This window comes from Homo sapiens, chromosome 7, assembly GCF_000001405.40.
Source record: "Homo sapiens chromosome 7, GRCh38.p14 Primary Assembly".
NCBI classification, from domain to species: Eukaryota; Metazoa; Chordata; class Mammalia; order Primates; family Hominidae; genus Homo; species Homo sapiens.
Genome location: NC_000007.14, coordinates 88,634,170 through 88,646,337, shown reverse-complemented (window position 1 = coordinate 88,646,337; position 12,168 = coordinate 88,634,170). Strand labels below are relative to the sequence as shown.

Genomic DNA, 12,168 nt, shown 5'->3' with positions numbered 1-12,168 from the left:
GTATTACACAGAATAGTTTCACTGTCTTAAAAATTACCTGTGCTTCACATGTTCGTCCTTCCTGCCAAATCCCTAGAAACCAGTGATCATTTTACTGTCTCTATAGTTTTGCTTTTTTCAAAATATAATATAGTTGGAATCATACAATATTTAGTCTTTTCAGACTGGCTTCTCTCACTAAGTAATATGCATTTAAGGTGCTTCCATGTCTTTTCATGGCTGGATATCCATTTTTGAAAATCATTGAATAATATTCCATTGCATTGTTCTATTACCAATGGAAGGGCATTTTGCTTGTTTTCAAGTTGTGGCAATTATGAATAAAGCTGCTAAGATATGTATCCAGGAGTTCTGTATTAGTTTTCTATGGCTGCCATAACAAAATATTACAAACTGAGAGGCTTAAAGCAATAGAAATGTATTGTGTCACAGTTGTGGAGGGTAGGAGTCTGAAGTCAAGATGTCAGCAGCACAGGTTTTTTTTCTTATGGCCATAATCATGCTTATCTAATAGTGTCTAGAGAATTAGCAGCAATCTTTAGTGTTCCTTGGCTTGCAGATGCTAATCTCTGCCTTCATTTTACATGGAGTTCTCCCCCGTGTCATCACATAGTCTTTCCCTTGTGCATGTCTGTGTCTGTGTACAAACTTTCCATTTTTATAAGGACATTAGTTATGTTGAATTAGGGCTGACCCAAATGACCTCATTTTAACTTGGTAACCTCAGTAAAGATCTTATTTCTAAACAAGATCATATTCTAAGGTACTTAGGACTTCAACATACCTTTCTGGGGAGACACAAATTAACCCTCAACAAATGCAATAGCTAGACTGTGTGGTAAGACAATGCTTAGCTTCATTTTGGGGGAAAAAATTTGCCAGATTGTCTTTCAAAGTGGCTATACCATATTAAATTCCCACAAACAATGAGAGTTCCTGTTGCCCCACATGCTCATCAGCATTTGGTGTTGTCAGGGTACTGGATTGTAGTTATTCTAGTAGGTGTGTAGTGGTATCTTATTGCTGTTTTCATTCGCAATTCCCTTAAGCATGATATTGAGCATCATGTCACCCTATTTGCCATCTGTATATCTTCTTTGTTGAGTTGTCTGTTCTCATAATTTGCCTGTTTTTTTTAATCGGATAGCTTGTTTTCTTATCGTTAAGTTTTAAGCATTCTTTGTCTATTTTGGATATGAGTCCTTTAGCAGATATTTGTTTTGCAAAGGTTTTTCTCCAAGTTTGTATCTTTTAATTTTCTTAATAGTATATTTTGCAGATCAGAAGGCTTTAATTTTAATGAAGCCCAACTTATTATTTTTGTATTTTTTTGATTATGTTTTTGGTTTGTATCTAAAAAGTCATCACTAAACACAAGATCACCTAGATTTTCTTCCATATTATCTTCTAGCAGCTTTATAGTTTGTTTGTTTTACACTTAGATCTATGATCTGTTTTTAGTTAATTTTTGCTAAAAACATAAGGTTTGAGTCTATGTTCAGTTTTTGTGTGTGAATAGACTACCTTTTTTTAAAGACTATGATTTTTGCAAGAAGTTGTGTTTGCTCCTTTGTCAAGGATCAGTTGTCCTCATTTGTATTAACTGGGTCTATATCTAGTTTCTCTATTCTGTGCTATTCACCTATTTGTCTATTTTGCCAATATCACATTGTCTCTATTACTTACTATACCATTATATTAAGTCTTGAAGTCAGGTAGAATCAATCCTCCAACTATTTCTGTTTGATATTGTTTTGGTTATTCCTTGTCTTTTGCATTTCTGTTTCAACTTTCAAATCAGTTTGTCAACATCCACAAAATAATTTTCTAAGATTTTGATTGGGATGCATTGACTCTGTAGACTAAGGTAGGAAGAACTGACATCTTAAGAATATTGAATCTTTCTACACATTAACAGGGAATATTTTCATTTATTTAAATTGTCTGATTTTTAATCAGAGTTTTATAATTTTTCTCAGACAGTTTTCTATGTTTTTGATAAATTCATACCTATTTCATTTTTGGAAAAAATATTTTGTGTGGTTTTTAATTTTCATATAAATGACTTTGTGTTTTATATTTCAAATGCAGTCATTCACTGCTTGTATATAGGAAAGCAACTGACTTTTGTATGTTAACAAAAGGAGATTTAATTGGACTTACAGTTCCACCTTGCTGGGGAGGCCTCAGAATCATGGCGAGAGGTGAAAGGCACTTCTTACATGGTGGCAGCAAGAGAAAATGAGAGATAAGCAAAAGCAGAAACCCCTGATAAACCCATGAGATCTTGTGAGACTTATTCACTATCACAGGAATAACATGGGAAAGACTGGCTCCCATGATTCAATTGCCTCCCCCTGGGTCCCTCCCACAACACATGGGAATTCTGGGAGATACAATTCAAGTTGAGATCTGGTGGGACACAGCTAAACCATATCACCTTGTATCCTGCAAATCTGCTATAATCACTTATAAGTTCTAAGGCTTGTTTGTTGATTCTTTGGGATTTTCTATATAAATAATGATATATGTGAATAGAGATAATTTTATTTTTTCCTTCCCAATTTGTGCACTTTTTACTTCCTTTTTTCTTTGCTTTCTTTTTGTTGTTTTATTGCATTAGCTGGGACTTCCAGTGCAATATGGAATATGAGTAGTGAGAGGATATGTTCTTGCTTTACTCCTAATCTTAGAGAGAAAGCTTCTAGTTTGTCACTGTTAAGTGTGATACTAGCCATAGGTTTTTTTGTAAATGTTCTTTAGCAGATTGAGGAAGTCCACCAATATTTCTAGTTTGTAGAGTTTTTACCATAAATGAGTGTTCAATTTTTTCAAATACTTTTTCTACATCTATTGTTATGATTATGTGATTTTTCTTCTTTAACCTGTTAATGTGACGAATTACATTAATTAATTTTCAAATGTCAAACCAGTCTTGCATACCTAGGATAATTCCCACTTGGTCATAGTGTATAATTACTTTTATTTTATCCGCTAATATTTTGCTGAGGATAGTTGCACTGTATTCATGCGATACTGGTCTGTAGTTTTCCTCTTTTATAATGTCATTGTCTGGTTTTGGCATTGGAGTGCATTTGAAACCACAGTCTGATTCCGGAGCCTACAGTCCTAACTACTATATTCTACTGTCACACTGCTTTGAGTTTTAATACTTGAGTTTTTATCATGAACTAGGCACTGCTTGATGTTTTCACATATATTATTGCATTTTTCTGGATCATATAGTAGTAGAAAAGATGATCCTGGCAGAAGTAAGCAAATGTGCCTCATTTCTAAAATGGGTGTAATAATAGTGTCTTCTCCATGAGATTTTTGTGAGGAATAAACTATGTAGTGAATGACAAACACCCAACAGTGCTTAAACACTTTACAAACACATCATGTGTTATTGAGATAAGTCAAATCACAGTTGAATTATTTTATGCTCCAAACTAATATACATATAATACTATACTACTTATTAGCATAGTGTTTGCCACATAGCTAATATTTAACAAATCTTGTTGAACTGAATGTATAAATATTTTAGATAATTTTTCTAAATTTTTCTTTTCTGTTTTTAAAGCAAAATTAAGATTAGAAACTTCATATTTACTATTACCAGTGGTGATAGCTAAAGGAGAAATATAAAATATTTAGAACTTTAGTAATAGAAGAATAGTAGCAATGATCACATTTTTATGATGCAAAATATACACGTAAATTTAAACTCTCACTATAAATATAAAATATCTTTTTAAATGAGCATAAATACCCTATAAGATGTTCCACTTCATTGCATTAAATAGAGAATGCCTTTTTAGATTAATTATAATGATATTATAACAGAGCATGTGAATCTTTCATCAATATGTATTTTTAGTAATTTATTCATCTGAAAATGCCATGGACAAAAAGACTGATGCTTCCAAAGCAATCACATTGTAATACATTTTCTCAGGTAACACCATCCATGAGCACTGAGATTAAAAATACGGCCCTGCTCACCAGGGCTTGGTAGAGGAAATCTATAGACCAATCACAGTTCTTAGCAGAGGTAGAAAGGATCATGCTCCTATTCTTGCTGAAATTTCAACGTGAGGCATAAGTACCCATTTTAGGATCAAGAAAACCTCTGTAATCATGAATGTACCTCTGACCTCCTAACCTGCTCTTCATTAGAGGAAAAGGATGAGATGTTCCAGAACAGGGTTTAACCAACGGTGACTAGCCTCTAATTTTTTATTGTACAATTCATGAGCTAATAATGTTTCTAATATTTGTAAAGGTTGTGGAAAAAAGGGGAATATGAGACACAGATCATGGCCCACTAAGCCTAAAATACTTACTGTTGGCTTCTTTACCTAATACATCTTCTATAGTGATGAAAATGTTCTGTATCTCTGCTGTCCAATATGGTAGTCACAAAACAAACGTAGCATTGAGTAGTTGAAATGTAGTAGTGCAACTGAGGAAATAAATTTTAGTTGTATTTAATTTTAATTAATTCAAATTTAAATAACCACATGTGTCTCGTGGCTACCAAATTGGACCGCACAGCTTTAGAGCACCATCTCTCCTATCCCAAAAATTCTGAACCATCAAAAACCAAAAACAATAGATGAGACAGAGGCCGCTATAACCTGAAGTGTCCTTATTCAGCTCATCTAACTCCTCCAAAAACATTTTCCTTTTCTGCCATTTCTTATCCCCTTTGATTCCATTTCTTTCCAATGTATCTTCAGACGCCTTCCTATCCCATTTACCTTGTGTTTTTACGGAAATGCAGAATAAAATGGCAAGCTAAGATCCTGCTTCAGGGTCCTTTTGCAAGACCAAGTCAAAACTCTAAATCATTGCCCTTAAAGGAGTGTGGCAAATGGATTCTTTTGGTACCTGATTGAAGGATATGGATATTTCTCTGATGGGTTATGAATTGATCACTATGTATAAAGCAATTTCTGTAGGAAATTCTGAGTTCCAAACAGTTGACTTAAAAAACTGGCCACACACTTTTTGATAAATTAGGAATCAATTGTGTATGGTTTACAATAAGCAATTACTTATAAGTTGAGGTTTCTACTATTTTTTTTTCTCACTAAACTTTGTTTTAATGGGTCTAAAAATTCTGTGACAGATTTTTGGTCAAGTTGTTTCCATTAAAAAGTACTGATTTTAGTGAAACCCTGTCTCTACTAAAAATACAAAAAAATTAGCCGGGCATGGTGGCGGGCGCCTGTAGTCCCAGCTACTCAGGGGGCTGAGGCAGGAGAATGGCGTGAACCCAGGAGGCGAGCTTGCAGTGAGCGGAGATCACACCACTGCACTCCAGTCTGGGCGACAGAGCGAGACTCCATCTCAAAAAAAAAAAAAAAAAAAAGTACTGATTTTAGGCTGGACGAGGCAGCTCACACCTGTAATCCCAGTACTTTGGGAGGCTGAGGCTGGTAGATCACCTGAGGTCAGGATTTGGAGACCAGCCTGGCCAACATGGGAAAACCCCATCTATACTAAAAATACAAAAAAAAAAAAAAAAAATAGCCAGGCACGGTGGCAAGCGCCTGTTAGTACCAGCTACTAGGGAGGCTGAGGCAGGAGATTCACTTGAACCCAGGAGGCGGAGGTTGCAGTGAGCCGAGGTCACGCCACTGCACTCCAACCTGGGCAACAGAGTGAGATTCTGTCTCAAAAAAAAAAAAAAAAAAGTAGTACAGATTTTAAAAACTAATAACAAAACTGCCACTTGCCAAAAAAAAAAAAAGTGCTCCTTCTTTCCTTCTGAAGGTTTTATGAGGCATTGTTATTGTTAACCAGTCTTTTACTATTAAACTTAAATGGCCAATTGAAACAAACCGTTCTGAGACCATTCTTCTACCACTGAGTAAGACTGGGGTGGCAGGTATTAGGGATAATATTTATTTAGCCTTCTGAACTTTCTGGGCAGACGTGGTGATCTTTCCAGCTCCAGCAGCCTTCTTGTCCACTGCTTTGATGACATCCATGGCAATTCTCCATCTCATATCATGAACAGCAAAGCAACCCAAAGGAGGATAGTCTGAGAAGACCTCAACACACATGGGCTTGCCAAGAACCATATCAACATCACCAGAGTTCAAGAATTTGGTGGCAACATCACCAGACTTCAAGAATTTAGGGCCATCTTTCAGCTTCTTACCAGAATGGCAATCAATCTTTTCCTTCAGCTCAGCAAATTTGCATGCAATGTGATCTGTGTGGCAATCCAGTAGAGGGGAATAGCCAGCACTGATTTGGACTGGATGCTTCAGGATAATCACCTGAGCAGCGAAGCCAGTTGTTTCCGTTGGTGGATCATTTTTGTTGTCACCAGCAACATTGCCACAATGAACATTTTTGACAGACACATTCTTGACATTGAAGGCCACATTGTTCTGAGGAAGAGTCACTCAAAGCTTCATGGTGCATTTCAACAGACTTTACTTCAGGTGTGTAACACTGACTGGAGCAAAGGTGATCACCCTACCAGGTTTGAGAACACCAGTCTCCACTCCGCCAATAGGCAAAGTAGCAACACCACCAATTTTGTAGACATCCTGGAGAGGCAAGGGCGAGGGCCTGTCGGTTGGACAAGCTGGTGTTAGGATGCAGTCCAGTGCCTCAAGCAACTTGGTTCCACTGGCATTGACATCTTTATGAGTGACTTTCCATCCCTTGAACCAAGGCATGTTAGCACTTGGCTCCAGCATGGTGTCACCATTCCAACCAGAAACTGGCACAAATGCTACTACTGTGCCAGGGGCTGTAGTTAATTTTCTTAATGAAAGTGCTGACTTCTTTAAGGATTTGTATTTTTTCTGGCTGTAGGGTGTCTCAGTGGGATCCATTTTGTTAACATCAACAATTAGTTGTTTCCCACCCAGTGTGTAAGCCAGAAGGGCATGCTCATGGGTGTGCCCATTCTTAGAGATACCAGCTTCAGATTCACCAGCACCAGCAGCAACAATCAGGACAGCACGGTCAGCCTGAGATGTCCCTATAATCATGTTTTTGATAAAGTGTCTGTGTCCTGGGGAATCAATGATAGTCATGTAGTACTTGCTGGTCTCAAATTTTGGCAGGGAGATATCAATAGTCATACCATGTTCACATTCAGCTTTCAGTTTATCCAAGACCCAGGCATACTTGAACGAGCCCGTTCCCATCTCAGCAGCCTCCTTCTCAAATTTTTCAATGGTTCTTTGGTCGACGCCTCCTCATTTGTGGATCAGATGGCCAGTAGTGGTGGACTTGCCCCATCTACGTGTCCAATGACAACAATGCTGATATGAGTGTGTTCCTTTCCCATTTTGGCTCTTGGGGTAGTTTTCACAATACTTGTTTTCTGGTGGCAAACCCACTGGGGGAAAGAAAGCGCTACTATTTTTATAGAACACTTTTTGTTTCCTTGTTAATTCTACGGGAAAATATATTATACCAGCCTATTGTTGTAAATATCAAAGAGGACTCTTTCAAAAAATGCAAATGCGCTCTGTTTCAGTAGGTCTCAGATGAAACCAAAAGCTTTTCTGTTTGACAAGTACACTTAAGCTAAGCCGATGTCGGCAGAGGAGATTGACAGCCCAACCATTCAGTAACACGGCATTAACAGATTCAGAGAAAGATTTGTTGAAAAGTAAGTCAGAACCATTCACTAAATAAATTTTAGGACTATCAGTTTTCTATATTATGACACCTTATGTTTTCATGGTTTGTACATTCTGTTTCTTGGGTCTTATATTCCTAGAAAATGACTACTTTTCATTTTTGTCATCTTCTTTCAGAAAGAACCAAATGTCCCTTCTTCTGTGAGACCCTACTTGAATTCCCAAGAAAAATTTGGCTTTCTTTTTTAAATATTCTGAATTATACTTTGTATGTAAACTCTATTACAGTCTATCACATTGTGTTAAATTTATTTCACATTAAGAGGAGGAGTCATGTCTTATCATGCATGTAATTTCATACCTAAAATATTTTATAGTGCATAATTAATGCTCTATAAATGTTTGATAAACAGAAAATGAGAAAAAAATCAGAGCTGACTATAGTTAACCGACATTTTAGTTAAACATGATAAGTATTTACAATCTTTGCCAGTTTCTAAATTATAATTTTACTCATACATTTTAAGGTATCAGATTTTAATCTTAAAAAAGTCCTCAAGGCAAAATAAAAACATTAATTTAAAAAATTGCTTTAGAGTTAACTTTATGTCATCTTTCATTCCAAGTATATAGACTAGGAATTAAAATTTTAACTTAATTTTTTTAAAATTTAATTTAAAACACATAAATAAATTTAAATAATTTAAATTTTTTTAATTATTATTATTTATTAATTAATTATTATTTAAATAAATAATTTAAAACACATAAAGAGAAATGCTATTTGTAATGAACTGGAAAAGTGCATTCCCTCTCTATCTAATATAGGAGCTTCATGAGAGCAGGGACCTTCTATATTTCCAATTCCTACATCAGTGTGTGGCATATAATTAGTTTTCAATAAACATTTATTCACTAATTGAAAAGATGGATACATAAATAAATGGGTATATGAATGCCATGTGGGGCAGGGGCCCGACACAGTTGGAGTTTCAATTTTTCAAGAAATACCAAGATATTTAAATAAATACAATTTTTAAATGTTAACACATTTTAAAATTCAGAAAAAGAACAAAGAAAAACAAAAATATGCAGACTGAACAAAACTTATTAAATGCAGCCTATGGGTCATGAGTTTACAATATTTAATAAAAACAAGCAGCAGGAACAAATATTTGTTCAGTACTACAAATCACAAAATATATTTAGTTAGGTTATGTGGGAATTCTTTACAACTTCATATATGATACAAATACTCTGCATGTAGAATCAGCTAGTGCTTTGGTACCTGTTTGCCCTTAACAATCTCTTCTTTTCTGAGGTGGCTTTATTCTATCAGAGTGACACTTTTGAAATCAATCACATTTTCCTCAACCTGACAGATTAAAAAGTTTACCGAAAAAGAATTGGAGCACAATACTACATTTAAAACATTTTCCAAAGCTACATTTTTTTCAATAGTTTATTTCATTAACTACAAGCTTCAGGGCAAGATTCTCTGTGTAATGCATGTGCATTATGTCTTAGGACTTAAAATTATGGTTCCAGTTTGCTGATTCCCAAATCAACTAATTCAAGAAGTGAAATACAGTTTTTGTGCCAAAGTAATTGTTTCTCCTGGAGTTTCTTTTGAACTGTAAGTCTATCTTCAATGCATTTCTTTGTTAAGCAAAATATAAAATGGGTAATGGATAAATGTTGAGAATATCATCCAATCATTTTTTAAGTAGTTGTCAAATGCTCTCTTTAGAAAGCTTCTCAAGGGGAAATGTTTATGTCTAGAGTAAGTGGTACAAAGCATCATAAAAATATGCCAAATGATTATTATCTGCCAAAAATGGAAATGGTAGAGGAAGTGGAAATTCTACTCTTGAAAAAATGAAAAGAACAAAAAAGACCCATTTGTTTACAATCTTTGGAAGTAGTCTTTATGCAATAAAATTGTAGGGGAAAATGAATGTTTGGAAACTCCAGGGTCCTTTTCATTAGAAAGACAATGTACCAGACAACTGACTGAATTTTTTAACTTTTTCAGAATACTTTACTATAATTTATATTCAGCCAAATTATCAATAAAAAAGAATGTATTAAAAATTCAACACAAACCCCTTAGATAGGATTTTAAAATACTAACTACTGCCAAATTATTGGGAGAAACTTTGTATATACAAACCAGTGATAATTTCAGTTATGAAAATTTTCTTCAGGAAGCTAAGGGCCTTCAAAGTTTCTATTGCTTTACATTACCTACTAATTATGACTTTTCAACTGCATGTTAATTTGGGCAAATAGAGAGCTAGAAGACTTTTGTTTCTGTTTTGCATATGTTTAGAACAAATACATTCAAGGCGTAATACTTCATTTAATATTCTAACTAAATCTATGAAACAAAAACATGGGAATTCAAAGAATTATAACTAGCATTCAAGCAATAATAATTGAATAAGAAAGTGGTAATAACTTTGGCTGGACAGATGGCAAATCTAAATACTGTGAAGTTAAAAAGAGGGCCTTAGAGGTCAATAATACTTTTTTTTCAACCAATTTATTGATTCTTTTGATTATGTCTTATATGAAGTTTCAGTTCGAATACTCTGATTAACAGAGAGTTCTCTACCTCCCAACCCAATCAATTCTACCTTTGGAACATTCTAAATTAGAAAAGTCTTTTTGACAAAGGTATAAATCTACCCACAATTTCACCTTATTTTTCCCACCTTAAATTCTAGGTTAATTCTATTATACTCCAGTGATAATTTACATAATTAACTGAAAGCCTGATATTGGAGGTTACAGAGGCCCACTGTACATCATAACAGTCCACCATGAAAATGATGGGCTACAAGGATTCGAAGTATAAATACGGTCCATTTTGTGTCAGATTAACAAAGATTATGAAAACACGTGCAATTTAAAAATGTTCCATGTTTTTCTCACACATTTCTGTGGGAGGGGTGAGAATTAATGAGAGGTCTGACTCACATGTACATGGACACAATACACTTTCACCTTATGAATGGGGTTCATGGTGATTTCTTAAATGCACCTAATGAGTACATCATCATAATCATAATAAACTCTGGTAAGATTAAACACTGGGATAGCTTCTGCATCCCAACCATTTGCCATTATTATAGGGTTCTCATCAGTTTTCACAACTGAATCTCTGTTAATACTTGCGATCAAGATGGGCTTAAAGTTCTTTCCAGCTTGATTAAGCTTTAGACAGGCTCTTTCTTGACTCTAGCTAGGCCCCTTGACCTCCCTTTTCTTACAGCATTTACTTCAGAAAACTTTAATTGTAAATCCTTTATCTGCCCCTTTGAGATGTAAATCTTTCTAAAAGCCTCTTACCAGTTTCACAACTCAGGATTGTCTTTCTCAAGGATCCAGGAGCCATCCCTTTGATATGTAACTATCAAGGAAGATAAAGTGTTACCTCCAGGTCTCTGTAAGAACATTGGAGCTTAACTTCCTGAGTGGGTGGCTTGCTCCAAATTGTAAAATTACCTCCTGTCACAAAGATAAAAGAAAGTTTACTTGTCCTTTGGGTAAAGCCAATGAGCCAATACAAATGGCCTATGTTTTCCCTCTTACTCCAGCGCTTTAAACTTTCTCACCCCTTGTTTCAGCAAAGGTGAGTTCAGATTGTATTATGGTCTTGCTCCCCTATTGTAACGGCCCTGAATAAAGTCTTCCTTACTTATTTAACTTTGTCCAGTGCAATTTTTGCATTGACACACACACAAAATACTTCTTCAGATTTGCAGTCATGCTTTCTAAGACAGAAAAAAATACTCCTTCAGATTTGCAATCATGAAAAAGCCGACTAGATAGAGCAGCATTTGATAAAGATATAAACAGAAGCTACTCTTTGAGTAAAGGCTGCTAGCAGTCATATAAATTAGCATGAAACTTGAAATTCTTAATTTACAAAAGGTCTACATGTAATTAGTCATGGGCAAGGAAAAAATTTAAGAAAAATTGTAACACTGCCCTGTAGAACTAGTACTATCTTCTCTAGACTGCCAAAACTCACTCATCACAGGGCTAATAACGGGAGCTTTGGCCAACATTAAAAAATGTTAAAGAAAATGTTGCCATCTAGTAAAAGAGGGGAAGATGTTGGGTTATAGGCTTTTTCAATTTTTGTGAGACTTTACATATCCTGTTAAACCAAAATGAACGTATCCAAGTTTTTAAAATTCTATGTTTTTATCTTAATAAATTTAAATATAAAGGAATTCTCTAGGTTATTGTACTCTACTTTTAGCATTTTTACATTATATTTAATAATTAAAACGTGGTCTGGCATATATGCTGCTCTATGCAAGTGTAGGGTGTAGCTATAACTATTAGTATATCATGCTGCCTTTCCATTACTGCAATTTTATGTGGTCCTGCAAATAAATGTGCCTGATCAGTTTTAACTTAGCTGAAATATATTTCAAGCTATTTTAAAATTGTGTTTTAAAACATGTATACTTTTTTTTAAAAGTGTTATGCTATACCATACAATCTCATTACTGGCTTGGCAGTTTGACCA

General features: G+C 34.9%; 1 pseudogene, besides 1 other annotated feature; it reads right to left on the bottom strand.

Annotated features, from left to right (window-relative positions):
• Positions 1-5,715: 5,715 nt before the first annotated feature.
• EEF1A1P28 (eukaryotic translation elongation factor 1 alpha 1 pseudogene 28) lies at positions 5,716-7,386 on the bottom strand (annotated as a pseudogene).
• Positions 10,454-11,446: an enhancer, noted in NCBI's record as "OCT4-NANOG hESC enhancer chr7:88264206-88265198 (GRCh37/hg19 assembly coordinates)". NCBI's record gives its function as "activates a minimal SCP1, AML or CMV promoter by ChIP-STARR-seq in primed H9 embryonic stem cells {active_cell/tissue: H9 hESC(primed)}" and the evidence as "EXISTENCE:reporter gene assay evidence [ECO:0000049][PMID:30033119]".